We start from the raw sequence: 16,546 nt of genomic DNA, 5'->3' as shown, positions 1-16,546 counted from the left end.
CCATTTTCACTATATTGATTCTTCCTACCCATGAGCATGGAATGTTCTTCCATTTGTTTGTATCCTCTTTTATTTCGTTGAGCAGTGGTTTGTAGTTCTCCTTGAAGAGGTCCTTCACATCCCTTGTAAGTTGGATTCCTAGGTATTTTATTCTCTTTGAAACAATTGTGAATGGGAGTTCACTCATGATTTGGCTCTCTGTTTGTCTGTTGTTGGTGTATAAGAATGCTTGTGATTTTTGTACATTGATTTTGTATCCTGAGACTTTGCTGAAGTTGCTTACCAGCTTAAGGAGATTTTGGGCTGAGACAATGGGGTTTTCTAGATATACAATCATGTCATCTGCAAACAGGGACAATTTGACTTCCTCTTTTCCTAAATGAATACCCTTTATTTCCTTCTCCTGCCTAATTGCCCTGGCCAGAACTTCCAACACTATGTTGAATAGGAGTGGTGAGAGAGGGCATCCCTGTCTTGTGCCAGTTTTCAAAGGGAATGCTTCCAGTTTTTGTCCATTCAGTATGATATTGGCTGTGGGTTTGTCATAGATAGCTCTTATTATTTTGAAATACATCCCATCAATACCTAATTTATTGAGAGTTTTTAGCATAAAGCGTTGTTGAATTTTGTCAAAGGCCTTTTCTGCATCTATTGAGATAATCATGTGGTTTTTGTCTTTGGCTCTGTTTATATGCTGGATTACATTTATTGATTTGCGTATATTGAACCAGCCTTGCATCCCAGAGATGAAGCCCACTTGATCATGGTGGATAAGCTTTTTGATGTGCTGCTGGATTCGGTTTGCCAGCATTTTATTGAGGATTTTTGCATCAATGTTCATCAAGGATATTGGTCTAAAATTCTCTTTTTTGGTTGTGTCTCTGCCTGGCTTTGGTATCAGAATGATGCTGGCCTCATAAAATGAGTTAGGGAGGATTCCCTCTTTTTCTATTGATTGGAATAGTTTCAGAAGGAATGGTACCAGTTCCTCCTTGTACCTCTGGTAGAATTCGGCTGTGAATCCATCTGGTCCTGGACTCTTTTTGGTTGGTAAGCTATTGATTATTGCCACAATTTCAGCTCCTGTTATTGGTCTATTCAGAGATTCAACTTCTTCCTGGTTTAGTCTTGGGAGAGTTTATGTGTCAAGGAATTTATCCATTTCTTCTAGATTTTCTAGTTTATTTGCGTAGAGGTGTTTGTAGTATTCTCTGATGGTAGTTTGTATTTCTGTGGGATCGGTGGTGATATCCCCTTTATCATTTTTTATTGCATCTATTTGATTCTTCTCTCTTTTTTTCTTTATTAGTCTTGCTAGTGGTCTATTTTGTTGATCCTTTCAAAAAACCAGCTCCTGGATTCATTAATTTTTTGAAGGGTTTTTTGTGTCTCTATTTCCTTCAGTTCTGCTCTGATTTTCGTTATTTCTTGCCTTCTGCTAGCTTTTGAATGTGTTTGCTCTTGCTTCTCTAGTTCTTTTAATTGTGATGTTAGGGTGTCAGTGTTGGATCTTTCCTGCTTTCTCTTGTGGGCATTTAGTGCTAGAAATTTCCCTCTACATGCTGCTTTGAATGCGTCCCAGAGATTCTGGTATGTTGTGTCTTTGTTCTCGTTGGTTTCAAAGAACATCTTTATTTCTGCCTTCATTTCGTTATGTACCCAGTAGTCATTCAGGAGCAGGTTGTTCAGTTTCCATGTAGTTGAGCGGTTTTGAGTGAGATTCTTAATCCTGAGTTCTAGTTTGATTGCACTGTGGTCTGAGAGATAGTTTGTTATAATTTCTGTTCTTTTACATTTGCTGAGGAGAGCTTTACTTCCAAGTATGTGGTCAGTTTTGGAATAGGTGTTTTGTGGTGCTGAAAAAAATGTATATTCTGTTGATTTGGGGTGGAGAGTTCTGTAGATGTCTATTAGGTCCACTTGGTGCAGAGCTGAGTTCAATTCCTGGGTATCCTTGTTGACTTTCTGTCTCATTGATCTGTCTAATGTTGACAGTGGGGTGTTAAAGTCTCCCATTATTAATGTATGGGAGTCTAAGTCTCTTTGTAGGTCACTCAGGACTTGCTTTATGAATCTGGGTGCTCCTGTGTTGGGTGCATATATATATTTAGGATACTTAGCTCTTCTTGTTGAATTGATCCCTTTACCATTATGTAATGGCCTTCTTTGTCTCTTTTGATCTTTGTTGGTTTAAAGTCTGTTTTATCAGAGACTAGGATGGCAACCCCTGCCTTTTTTTGTTTTCCATTTGCTTGGTGGATTTTCCTCCATCCTTTTATTTTGAGCCTATGTCTGTCTCTGCACCTGAGATGGGTTTCCTGAATACAGCACACTGATGGGTGTTGACTCTTTATCCAATTTGCCAGTCTGTGTCTTTTAATTGGAGCATTTAGCCCATTTACATTTAAAGTTAATATTGTTATGTGTGAATTTGATCCTGTCATTATGATGTTAGCTGGTTATTTTGCTCGTTAGTTGACGCAGTTTCTTCCTAGTCTCGATGGTCTTTACATTTTGGCATGATTTTGCAGCGGTTGGTACCTGTTGTTCCTTTCCATGTTTAGCGCTTCCTTCAGGAGCTCTTTTAGGGCAGGCCTGGTGGTGACAAAATCTCTCAGCATTTGCTTGTCTGTAAAGTATTTTATTTCTCCTTCACTTTTGAAGCTTAGTTTGGCTGGATATGAAATTCTGGGTTGAAAATTCTTTTCTTTAAGAATGTTGAATATTGGCCCCCACTCTCTTCTGGCTTGTAGGGTTTCTGCCGAGAAATCCGCTGTTAGTCTGATGGGCTTCCCTTTGAGGGTAACCTGACCTTTCTCTCTGGCTGCCCTTAACATTTTTTCCTTCATTTCAACTTTGGTGAATCTGACAATTATGTGTCTTGGAGTTGCTCTTCTTGAGGAGTATCTTTGTGGTGTTCTCTGTATTTCCTGAATCTGAATGTTGGCCTGCCTTGCTAGATTGGGGAAGTTCTCCTGGATAATATCCTGCAGAGTGTTTTCCAACTTGGTTCCATTCTCCCCATCACTTTCAGGTACACCAATCAGACAAAGATTTGGTCTTTTCACATAGTCCCATATTTCTTGGAGGCTTTGCTCATTTCTTTTTATTCTTTTTTCTCTAAACTTCCCTTCTCGCTTCATTTCATTCATTTCATCTTCCATTGCTGATACCCTTTCTTCCAGTTGATTGCATTGGCTCCTGAGGCTTCTGCGTTCTTCACGTAGTTCTCAAGCCTTGGTTTTCAGCTCCATCAGCTCCTTTAAGCACTTCTCTGTATTCGTTATTCTAGTTATACATTCTTCTAAATTTTTTTCAAAGTTTTCAACTTCTTTGCCTTTGGTTTGAATGTCCTCCTGTAGCTCAGAGTAATTTGATCATCTGAAGCCTTCTTCTCTCAGCTCGTCAAAGTTATTCTCTGTCCAGCTTTGTTCCGTTGCTGGTGAGGAACTGCGTTCCTTTGGAGGAGGAGAGGCGCTCTGCTTTTTAGAGTTTCCAGTTTTTCTGTTCTGTTTTTTCCCCATCCTTGTGGTTTTATCTACTTTTGGTCTTTGATGATGGTGATGTACAGATGGGTTTTTGGTGTGGATGTCCTTTCTGTTTGTTAGTTTTCCTTCTAACAGACAGGACCCTCAGCTGCAGCTCTGTTGGAGTACCCTGCCGTGTGAGGTGTCAGTGTGCCCCTGTTCGGGGGTGCCTCCCAGTTAGGCTGCTCAGGGGTCAGGGGTCAGGCACCCACTTGAGGAGGCAGTCTGCCCCTTCTCAGATCTCCAGCTGCGTACTGGGAGAACCACTGCTCTCTTCAAAGCTGTCAGACAGGGACACTTAAGTCTGCAGAGGTTACTGCTGTCTTTTTGTTTGTCTGTGCCCTGCCCTCAGAGGTGGAGCCTACAGAGGCAGGCAGGCCTCCTTGAGCTGTGGTGGGCTCCACCCAGTTCAAGCTTCCCGGCTGCTTTGTTTACCTAAGCAAGCCTGGGCAATGGCGGGCGCCCCTCCCCCAGCCTTGCTGCCACCTTGCAGTTTGATCTCAGACTGCTGTGCTAGCAATCAGCAAGACTCTGTGGGCGTAGGACCCTCCGAGCCAGGTGCAGGACACAATCTCCTGGTGCGCCGTTTTTTAAGCCCGTTGGAAAAGCGCAGTATTCGGGTGGGAGGTGCCGTCTGTCACCCCTTTCTTTGACTAGGAAAGGGAACTCTCTGACCCTCTGCGCTTCCCGAGTGAGGCAATGCCTCACCCTGCTTCAGCTCACGCACGGTGCGCGCACCCACTGACCTGCGCCCACTGTCTGGCACTCCCTAGTGAGATGAACCTGGTACCTCAGATGGAAATGCAGAAATGACCCGTCTTCTGCGTCGCTCATGCTGGGAGCTGTAGACCGGAGCTGTTCCTATTCGGCCATCTTGGCTCCTCCCCCTCTTTTCCTTTTTTTTAACATTTATTTTAGTTTCAGAGTACATCTATAGATAAATTGCGTGTCACAGGGGTTTGGTCCCTATACCATTTCATCACCGAGGTAATAAGCATAGTATCCAAAAGGCAGTTTTTTTTTAATTCTTACCTTCCTACCACACTCCATGCCCAAGTAGGCCCCAGTATCTATTGTTCCTTTCTTTGTGCCCATGTGTACTCAGTGTTTAGCTCCCACTTATAAATGGGAACATGTGGTATTTGGTTTTCTGCTTCTGCATTAGTTCGCTAGGATAATGACCTCCAGCTCCATCCATGTTGCTGGAAAGGATGTTATTTTGCTCCTTCCTATGGCTGCATAGTATTCCATGGTGTATATACACCACATTTTCTTTATGCAGTCTACTGGATAATCAATTTAGGTTGATTCCTTTTCTTTGCTATTGTGAATAGTGCTGAAGTGAACATACATGCACATGTGTGTTTATGGCAGAACAATTTATATTCCTTTGGGTACATACCCAATAATGAAATTGCTGGGTCAAATGGTAGTTCTGTTTTAAATTCTTTGAGAAATCACTAAATTGCTTTCCACAGTGGCTGAACTAATTTACGTTTCCACTAGCAGTGTATACGCATTCCCTTTTCTCTGCAGCCTTGACAACATCTGTTACTTTTTGACTTTATTAATAGCCATTCTGACTGGTATGAGATGGTATCTCACCGTGGTTTTTATTTGCATTTCTCTAATGATTTGCGATGTTGAACATTTTTTCATATGCTTGTTGGCTGTGTGTATGTCTTTTTTTGAAAAGTGTCTATTCATCTTCTTTGCCATTTTTAATAGAGTTTTTTTATTTTTTCTTGTAAATTTAAGATTCTTATAGATTCTGGATATTAGACCTTTGTCAGATGCAGAGTTTGAAAATATTTTCTCCCAGTCTGTGGGTTGTCTGTTTATTGAAAGTTTCTTTTGCTGTGCAGAAGCTCTTTAACTAGGTCCCATTTGTCAATTTTTGTTTTTGTTTAAATTGCCTTTGGTATCTTTGTCATAAAATCTTTACGAGGGCCTATATGTAGAATGGTATTTTTCTAGGTTTTCTTTAAGGGTTTTTACAGTTTTAGGTTTTACATTTAAGCCATTAATCCATCTTGAGTTAATTTTGTATATGGTGTAAAGAAGGGGTCCTATTTTAGTCTTCTGGATATGGCTAGCCAGTCATTTCATCAACCATTTATTGAATAGGGAATCCTTTCCCCATTGCTTGTTTTAGTTGACTTTGTCGAAAATCAGGTGGTTGTGGTGTATGGCTTTATTTCTGCGCTCTCTACTCTGTTTCATTGGTCTATGTGTCTGTTTTTGTGCCAGTACCATGCTATTTTGGTTACTGTAGCCTTGTAGTACAGTTTGAAATTGGGTAATGTGTTGCCTCCAGCTTTGTTCTTTTGGCTTAGGATTGCTTTGGCTATTTGGGCTCTTTTTTTCTGGTTCTATAAAAATTGCAGAAGTTTTTTTTCTAATTCTGTGAAGAACATCATTGGTAGTTTAATAAGAATAGCACTGAATCTGCAAATTACTTTGGGCAGTATGGCTATTTTAACAACATTGATTCTTCCTGTTTATGAGCATGGAATGTTTTTCCATTTGTTTGTGTCTATTTGCTGTGTCATCTCTGATTTCTTTGAGTAGGGTTTTGTGGTTCTCATAGAGAGATTTCACCTCCCTGGCTAGCTAAGCATTGTTTCTTTTTTTGTGGCTATTGTGAATGGGGTTGTGTTCTTGATTTGGCACTCAGCTTCAACATTATTGGTGTATAGAAATGCTACTGTTTTTCGCACATTAATTTTGTATCCAGAAACTTGGCTGAAGTTGTTTATCAGATCTGGGAGATTTGGGGTAGAGACAATCAGGTTTCCTAGGTTTAAAATCACATTTTCTACAAACACAGATAGTTTGACTTCCTCTCTTCCTATTTGCATGCCTTTTATTTCTTTCTATTGCCTGATTGCTCTGGCTAAGACTTCCAGTACTATGTTGAATAGGAATGGTGACAGTAGGAATCCTTGTCTTGTTTCAGTTCTTAAGGGGAATGCTTCAGCTTCTGCCCATTCAGTATGATATTGGCTGTAAATGGCTCTTATTATTTTGAGGTATGTTTCTTTAATGCCTAGGTTACTGAGGATTTTTAAATAAAGAAATGCTGAATATTATCAAAAACTTTTTCTGCATCTGTTGAAATGATAATGTGGTTTTGTTTTTATTTCTGTTCATGTGGTGCATCATATTTATTGATTTGCCTTTGTTGAACCAAACTTGCATCCCAGGGATAAAGCCTACTTGATTGTGGTGGAATAGCTCTTTGATGTACTGCTGAATTCAGTTTGCTGGTGTTTTGTTCAGGATTTTTGCATCTTTGTTCATCAAAGATATTGCCTGAAGGTTTCTTTTTTTCCTCTCTTCACCAGACTTTTGTATCAGGATGATGCTGGCCTCATAGAATGCATTAGGGAGGAGTGCCTCCTAATTTTTTTTTAATAGTTTCAGTAGGAATGGTACCAGCTCTTCTTTATATGTCTAGTAGAGTTCGGCTGTGAATCTGTTTTGACCTGAGTTTTTCTGGTTGGTAGGCTTTTTATTACTGATTCAATTTTTGAATTCATTATTGGTCTGTTCAGGATTTCAATTTCTTCTTGGTTCAGTCTTGAGAGGTATGTTTCCAGGAATGTATCCATTTCTTATAGGTTCTCTATATGTGTGCATAGAGGTGTTTGTAATCATCTCTGGTGTTTTTTTGCATTTCTAGGGGTCAATGGTAATGTCCCCTATGTCATTTCTGATTGTGTTTATTTGGATCTTCTTTTCTTTATCAGTCTAGCTAGCAGTCTATCTATCTTATTTATTCTTTCAAAGAACCAATTCTGGTTTCATCAATCTTTTGAATTTTTTTTGTCTCAATTTCATTCAGTTCAGCTTTGATTTTGGTTATTTCTAGTCTTCTGCTAGCTTTGGGGTTGGCTTTCTCTTGTTTTCCTAGTTTCTCAAGATGTGATATTAGGTGGTTAATTTGAGATATTTCTAACTTTTTAATGTGGGTATTTAGTGCTATAAAGTTTCCTCTTAACCCTGCTTTAGCCATGGCCCAGAGATTCTGGTATGGTGTGTCTTTGTTTTCATTAGTTTCAAATAATTTCTTGATTTCTGATTTAATTCCATTGCTTACCCAGAAGTCATCCAGGAGCCGGTTGTTGAATTTCCATGTAATTATAGGGTTTTAAGAAATCCTCTTGATATTGATATCTATTTTTATTATACTGAGAGTGTGGTCGGTATGATTTTATTTTTCTTTGGATATGCTGAGGATTATTTTAGCCTGATTGTGTGGTGGATTTTAGAAGATGTGCTATGTGGTGATGAGAAGAATGTATCTTGTGTTGTTCTGGGGTGGAGAGTTCTGTGGAGGTCTATCAGATCCATTTGGTCCAATGTTGACTTCAGGTCCTGAATATCTTTGTTAATTTTCTGCCTCAATGATCACTATTATGGGGTGTTGAAGTCTCCTATTATTATTGTATGGTTTATCTAAGTCTCTTTTTAGGTCTCTAAGAACTTGTTTTATGAATCCAGATACTCCTGTGTTGGGTGCCTATATATTTAGGATAGTTGAGTCTTCTCGTTAAGTTGAACCCTTTACCACTACATAATGCCCTTTCTTGTCTTTTTTTGACCATTGTTGGTTTAAAGTCTGTTTTATCTGAAATTAGAATAGCAACCCCGATATTTTTTTTTCAATTTGCTTGGTAGGATTTTCTCTATCCCTTTACTTTGAGCCTATTGGTATCACTGCATGTGAGATGGGTTTCTTGAAACCAGTATACAGTTGGGTCTTGCTTCTTTATCCAACTTGCCACTCTGTGCCTTTTAATTGGGGCATTTGGCGCATTTACATTCAAGGTTAATATTGATATGTGCAGATTTGATCTTGTCATTATGTTGCCAGCTAGTTATTGTGCAGACTTGATTGTGTAGTTGCTTTATAGTTTCAACGGTCTATGTACTTAAGTGTGTTTTTGTGGTGGCTGGTAATGGTCTTTTGTTTCCATATTTAGCACTCCTCATGTAAGGACTTCTTGTAAGGCATGTCTGGTGGCAACAAATTCTGTTAGCATTTACTTGTCTGAAAAGGATCTTATGTCTCCTTTGCTTACGAAGCTTAGATTGATGAATATAAAATTCTTCACTGGAGTTTCTTTTCTTTAAGAATGCTGAATATAGGCCCACAATGTCTTTTGGCTTATAGGGTTTCTTCTGATATTAAACTTTTCTTATATCTGTTACAAACTGCACAGCACTGGATTAACTTTAGCTATCTTGATAATTTTGTTTACATATAATCAATTTACATCAGTTTGCTTATTGGTTAATTTAGATTTATTTCAGCCATATTGTTTTTGTGATATTTACCTTGCTTTTTCCATGTTCTTATCTATTTTATGCACTAGTGGTTGCTTGATTTTTTAAAAAATTAAAATTTTAAATTTAAATTCCCAAAACAGTTTCCACATTTCACCTGCTGTTTCTATTCTTTTAATGGTTCCCTTAAAATCTTAACACAGATAATTAATAAAATCTAAAGAAATCCATATCTCAATCATACTCCTGACTAAGGCTTTAAACCTGATCATGGTCCTCTCCTCTTTTATATGTTATGATGGTGTAGTATTTTAGTTCCACTTTGTTACTGATATTTATTCACTGTCCACTGTTTTCTCCTCTTCTTCCTCGTATTTCTTTTTCTTTACAGTCAATTTTTAAAAAAAGATTTATCTACCACTTATTTTATTTACCATTCTTCCTTGAATTTTGGTCCTTACATCAGGGTTCATTTTCTTTATTTTTGAAGTATATACTTTAGATATTTCTTGAATAAATTTTCTTTGTTACAAACCTGTTTTTGTTTGTCTGAAAATAGCTTTATTTTACTCTCAGTACTTAAAAATTAGCTTAGTAAGATATACAATTCTAGGTCAACAGTTATTTTCTCTCAGCACTTTAAAGATACTATTCCACTGTCTTTTGGCTTCCGTGGTTGCTGCTGACAAATCTAGCAGTGCTACTGACAAGTTTGTTCCTTGGTAAGTAATATATTTACTTCTGGCTTCTTTAAAGAACTTCTGTCTTTTAGTTTCTGCAGTCCACCATGTTGAATTGAGGTACAGATTTCATTTTAAAAATTTCCCTGGGGCTCATTACAGTTCTGAATCCAAGGGATTCATATTTGTCGACTCCAGAGTAGCAATATCTATTAGTTCTTCAAACAGTGCTTTTTTTCCTCATTCTTACTACTGTCTCCTCAAATTCCAATGAAATGTGTGCCAATTGTTCTCATTCTATTGTATTTTTTTACCTTCTTTTCCTCATTTTTCTCTCTTTGCCTCTGTATGCTGCATTCTGGATAGTTTCTTCAAATCTATTATCAGTTTCCTAATTCTTTTGTAAAGCTGTGTCAATATTTACAGTTTAACTCATCTATTTAGTGTAATATATAGTTTTATTTTCTAGATGTTCTATTTCTAGAAGACTTTTTCAAATAGATCTGGTCTTTTTTATGGTACCATGTTCATTTCTCATAGTTTCATAATTTTCTCAAACAGCCTTTAAAATCTTGCTTTAATTTTTATATTCAACAATTCTATAATCCAAAGATTCTGAGATTTTTCCTGATGTTTGTTTGTGCTGACTCTTGCCTTATATCCTTGCATATTTCATAATTTCAGAACTTTGGTTTGGCTGGGCTTTACTTGGCATTCTATCACATGTTAGGTTGAAAATGTATCCTTCCAAAGATTTACATTTCTGTCTAGTTGGTATCCCAGGGAATTCTTAATTCTCAGCATTGGGGGTTCATAGACCATGTCAGTAATTTTCAAACTTCGAACACATGTGAGGTCAGCTCTACATTTTAAAATGCTTGGGATGGAGGCAGTGAGGACATTCTGCTTCCACCTATGATGGAATAGCTAGTACTTGGTTAGCCCTCTTGCTATAAAGTATTATTAAAATGAACAAAATATATGAAAACTATTTTCAGACTTTGGACAAGAGGCAATGCAGGACTATGATTCCCAAGAGAAGGAAAACAAATGAGGTGATATAATGACCACTCTGTTTTATTCTGTCTAGAAAATTTTCTGGACTGTTTTGTAGAGTGCAAGAGCCCAAACAGAATACAGAAGTGTCACTTAGCTAAGGAGACAGAGATTAGAGCCTGAGGAGGCTGAGTTGGTTGGAAAGTGTGGAGTATAGTACTGAGAAAAAGGAAGTTGGTTATAGACAGAGCTACAGACATCTCTACAGGAAACCCCTTAAGTCTTTGGTTAATTATTGTTATGAACTGAATTGTGTCTTCATCTCCCTCACCTAAATTCATAGGTTGAAACCCTAGCCCTCAATGTGCTTGTCTGTGAAGACAGGGCCTTTAGAAAGGTAAGTTAAGGTTAAATGAGATCATAAGAGTGGTGGTCTAATGCAATAGGAATGGTGTCTTTATAAGAGAAAGGGATACCAGAGCGCTCTCTCTCTCTCTCTCTCTCTCTCTCCAGACATGTATAGAGAGAAGAGACCATGTGAGGACACATGAGTAGGCAGCTGTCTATAAACCAGAAATCTTATCAGAAACCATCCTTAATAGCATCTTGATCTTGGACTTCTAGCCTCTAGAAGTGTAAGAAAATAAATTTCTGGTTTTTTTAAGCCTCCCAGTCTGTGTTATTTTGTTATGGCAGCCTAAGTAGACTAATATAGCTACTAAGCTGCACATGCTCAGCGAAAGACTCCATGAGGACAGATAAAGAACATCTATTGGAGAAACAAAAAGTACTGAGGAAAGAATATCTACAGAGGAAGCTGTATATTGAATAACTACTGAAGCTCACACAAGGTTAAAACACATTTGATTTTTGAACAGCCAGAGCGTAGAGACCTTGTTGAATATACAGGAGATTCAAAAGAGACCCTCAGAAAGGCTACACTTTAGGCATAAGGCTAATGTAATCCTAGAGTAAAGAATACTATGGACTCTTTCTTGTAAAACCTTAAAATAAGCTTAGAAAGAACCAGGCTGATCTGCAAGTAAATTAACTACCTGGCAGAACAAAACTAGACACCCGATTTAAGGATGACAGCCAAATCTAGACACTTAATAAAGTGGCATCCATAATGTCCAGGATATAACACAAAATTATCAGACATGTGAAGAAAAAGGAAATATGACCTATTACTAGGAGGTAAATCAGCGATAGAAATAAAATCAGGAATAACAAACACAGAATAGGAAATAAGAACTTTAAAACTACATATAAATATATTCTAGAAATTTAGGAAATCTGTGAACATAATGAGAGAATAGGAATTCTCATTAGCCAAATAGAAACTAAGAAAAAAACTAAATAAAAGTTCAAGAAGCATAAAATGTGGTATCTGAAATGAAACATTTATACTGCAGGAGACACAACTGGTGAACTTGAAGAGCAACAAAAAATATGAAAACCAAAGCATACAGAAAAAGGAAGATGAAAAAAATTAACAGACTCAGTGACCTATGGAATAGTCCAAATGGGCTAACATATATGTAATTAGAGGAGAGAAATGAGAAAGATTAGGGGCAGAAAAATTATTTGAAAAAAATAATAGCTGAAAATTTTCCAAATTTCATGAAAACTCTAAACTTACAGATCCAAGCAGTTCAATAAACCCCAGAAGCATAAAGAATATTGCACCAAGGCAAATCATAATACAATTTTTCAAAACTAGTAATAAAGAAAAAAAAATGTTAAAAGTAGCCTGATGATAAATTACATACAACAGAACTAGGAAGATAATTATTGTTAATTTCTCATCAGAGACAATAAAAAGAAAAAGACAATGAAATCTGTAATGTACTAGAAGGAAAAGAAAATCAACCTAGAATTCTATATCCATCAAAAATATTCTACAAAAATGAAGCCAAAATAAAGACACATTTAGACAAAATAAAGTTGAGAGAACTTATCGACAGAAGACTTGTGCTACAAGAATTGTTCAAGGAAGGTCCTCATGCTTAAGGAAAATGATGAAAAGTGGAACTATATAAAGAAGAGTGCTAGAAACAGTAAATATGTAGATAAATATAAAATACCTTTCTTTATCAAAGTCTTACTTTCTCTCAATGGTAATTGTTTATAACAAAAATAATTAAAGTGTCTTGTGGGGTTTAAAACACATAAATAACATATGACAATAGCAGAAATAATAAGGTAGAGTAAAATGAAAGTATATTGTTGTAAGGTTCACATGCTATAGGTGAAAAAGTATACTGTTATTTGAAAGTAAACTATATTACATTAAAGATACAGTTTAGATGTGAAAGATATTATAAGCCTTGGAGCGACCATTAAAAATAGGTAATTATATCTAATAAGCCAAAAGAAAATATAAAATGATAAAATGTCAAAAAAAATGATTAATTCAAAAGAAGTCAGAAAAGGAAGAGAGAGTATCCTAGAACAGATGGAACAAACAGAAAACAAAAAGCAAGATAGTAGACTCTGTATGGTAGTAAACCTAATTGTATCAATAATTACATTAAATGTAGGTGGAGTAACTGCTCCAATTAAAAGACAGAAATTGTCATATAGAATAAAAAAATCAAGGCCTGAATGGGTCATAAAACATTCATTTAAGAGATGCATTTAAAAAATAAGGACACAAGTTAATAGTAAAATGATGAAAAACTATAAACCATGCAAACACTAATGATAAGAGAGTTGGCATGGTTGGAGTAGCTATGGTAACATTAGGAGTATTACTAGAATTAAAGAGGCATATTTCATAATGATAAAAGGGTCAATTCATCAAGACTATATGAAAATCATAAGTGATTATGAATCTAAGGGCAGGACGTCAAACAAACTGACTGCCAATAAAACCATGGTTGCAGCTGACAATTTCAATATCCCCTTTTCAATAATTATAGAATAAGCAGACAAAAAAATCAGTGAGGCTATAGAGGGCTTATATAGCATTACTAACTAACTGAACCTAATTTACCTTTACTGAACATTACATTCAACAAATGCAGAACACATATTCCTTTCAAATGCACATGGGACATTCAACAAGACATACATAGACTGGGCCATAAAATGAGTTTTGAAACATTTTTTTAATTGAAAGTTTTTGAAAAATCAGAGATTCTTTCCCCCTGCTCCAACCAAGCACCCAGCCCAAGACAGAAAAGTTTCCTCATTGTCTTTCTTTGTCAGAAGATGGATTTTTCCAGTTCATTCTTTTACTGAGCCTCTAACCCTTCATCTGCTTTTTCTCCCATGAGGTCTCAGTTCAACATTCCCACCTTATACAAAAAGCTTGTTTTTGTCTTCCATAGCCAAAAAATACTAAGTCCCTTTGTTACTGAGATTGACAAATGTCTGCAGGACGACTGTAACTTTCAGGCTTTTACACAGTTCTGGTTTTCATCTGCTTTCCACTTTTGGCCATTGAGGAGTTCCCTCAGTATTTTACATGCTCATCTATGCATTTCAAAATATGTTTGTGATATTGTGTTCAGTATTCTAGGGGTTTCGTGGCCAGCAGGTTCTCAGGTTATCTAGTTCCCATGTTTCTGGAAGTTAAAGCCTGGTTATTTTAAGGGTTCAGGTTACTTTGGCCTAATCAAATATCCCCTCATTTAGAGCCGGGCAGCCTTGGGTTTGAAATCTAGCCTCGGTATTCACCAGTTACGTAACTCTGAGCAAGTGATGAAACTTCTCTGAGCCTTAACTTACATGTGAGTTTTAGAGATCGTTAAGTCTGGGTTTTCAAGTTTGTTGTAAGGATTGTCTCTAATCTTACACAATACAAGGCAGAATAAGCAAAAAAGTTAATGTTATCATTATTCATTCATTCATCAAAGATCGAGTGTTTGCTATGTGCCAGACATACCTTCTATGTGCTAGGAATAACAGACAATAAATGTATAAACAAGTAAATAGTTTCATGTAAGTTCAAGTGCAATAACAAACAGGTAGTGGGATTGAGAATGTGTGTAAAAACATAATGGGTATTTCTAATTAGTGACTGGAGTTCCTACTGGATGATGTGACATTTGATTTAAAATCTGAATCAAGATGAAAACGTTCTGAAATTAGAGTGTGATGGTTGTACAACTCTGTGAATATAATAAAAACATTAAAATGTATACCTTAAATGGGTAAATTGTATGTATATTAATTACATCTCAAGTAATTCATGAAGCTGTTTGTTTAAAAGTCTAAATGAAGAAGAGAAAGCCAGATAAAAATCTTGGGGAAAAACACTGTACCTAAGAGAACAGCAGCACAAAACTCTGAGGCTAGAATAGGGCATTAGCCAGTTTGAAGAAAAGATTTGCTGGTAGGAGTTTAGTGAGGGAGAAGATTGGAGACAGTTGAGATTTAGACTGTGGGTAGGAGCCAGACTCAACACACTATTTAAGGGTGACAGGGCTTTGTAGGCCATGTTGAATATTTTGAATTTTTTCCAAAATGCAATGGGGGCCTTTGAAAAAAAATTAAACTGGAAAAGTGATGTCTGGTTTATGCTGTGAAACAATCACTGTGCTTTCCATAAGGCAGGAGAATTAACAGGATAGAAAAAGCACAAACAGGAAGAAAAGCAAAGGAGATAATTCCACAGTAACTAGAATGAAGTCCTAGGTATCCCACTTTTGACTTAGTCCTCCGTTCCCTCAAACTCTACTTTATTGATTATATTCTTATTTTGAGAACAGAGGTGTGACTGAAAGGGCCATCATAGCAGAAGGACCAATAAGAAGTAGAGAATTCATGCTCCACCACTACCCACAAAGGAAAAAATTATTGTAGTATCCTGAAGTTCAAATTGTCTGATTTCCAGTACCTGGACTACTCACAGAAGGTTTTGACATTTTTGGCTGACTGAAAATAGGCCATTCTAAACCGCTTCTGTCTTCCATTTAAAAACTAAGTCAACATTTGATATATATCATTCATCGGTAAGAAAATATATGGCAGAAGTTAAATATGGCTGCGTTGTTTTATATAAATGATTAAAAGTATGGCCTTTACAATCAGACAAAATTTGGTTTAAGCTTTGTCATTTAATGAGCGACTTAGAAATAGTTTTAAATTTTGTTAAATAAAATAAGGGACAAACAACTATTCTTCATTTAGGTTCAAATGAGTTGAACTGTAAATGAGATGCCTATACATCAGTTAGCACAATGACTAATACATGGTAGGCACTCCAAATAGGTAGCCATTATAATTATTATTGCTTATTGTAATAATTGTTGTCTGTTACTTTTATAAAGGAAAAAAATATTTTGAAAAGATGAAATCTACTCACCTTTAAAAGACATGAACCTGTTAACTTCATGTAAAATTACCTTCACGTTAAGTTATGGTTAAAATTACCATACTCCATGTAATCTATAATAATAATATCAAATTTTTCCTGTAATAAAAGTAGTTTAAACCCAATTTTAATAATTATAAAATCTTCAGCAGATTTCTCAGTAAGTTTTAGCAAACTATTTCTAATTATGAACTACTATGGAATATTGAGTTGGATTTTTTAATAGATCCCAAATGAAAATCAAACTCATATTGAGAGCTGAATCCAGTTGGGCTTCTGTGTCGGGTGGGGACTTGGAGAACTTTTCTGGCTAGCTAGAGGATTGTAAATGCACCAATCAGCATTCTGTAAAAAATAGACCAATCAGCACTCTGTAAAATGGACCAATCAGGAGGACATGAGTGGGGCCAAATAAGGGAATAAAAGCTGGCCACCTGGGCAAGTGGTGGCAACCCGCTGGGGTCCCTTTCCATGCTGTGGAGCCTGTGTTGTTTTGCTTTTCACAATAAATCTTGCTGCTGCTCACTCTTTGGGTCCGCACCAACTTTAAGAGCTGTAACACTCACTGCGAGGTCGTGGCTTCATTCTTGAAGTCAGTGAGACCACGAACCCACTGGAGGAACAACCAACTCTGGACGCGCCACCTTTAAGAGCTATAACACTCACAGTGAGAGCCGTCGCTTCATTCTTGAAGTCAGCAAGACCAAGAACCCACCAGAAGAAATAAA

The 16,546-nt window shown here is 36.7% G+C and overlaps 1 annotated feature.

Annotated features, from left to right (window-relative positions):
- Positions 3,558–4,117: an enhancer, noted in NCBI's record as "OCT4-NANOG-H3K27ac-H3K4me1 hESC enhancer chr16:55633008-55633567 (GRCh37/hg19 assembly coordinates)". NCBI's record gives its function as "activates a minimal SCP1, AML or CMV promoter by ChIP-STARR-seq in naive H9 embryonic stem cells {active_cell/tissue: H9 hESC(naive)}" and the evidence as "EXISTENCE:reporter gene assay evidence [ECO:0000049][PMID:30033119]".

Source organism: Homo sapiens, chromosome 16 (genome assembly GCF_000001405.40).
Source record: "Homo sapiens chromosome 16, GRCh38.p14 Primary Assembly".
NCBI classification, from domain to species: Eukaryota; Metazoa; Chordata; class Mammalia; order Primates; family Hominidae; genus Homo; species Homo sapiens.
The sequence above is the reverse complement of the archived record's forward strand: the minus strand, read 5'-3'. Positions and strand labels throughout refer to the sequence as shown.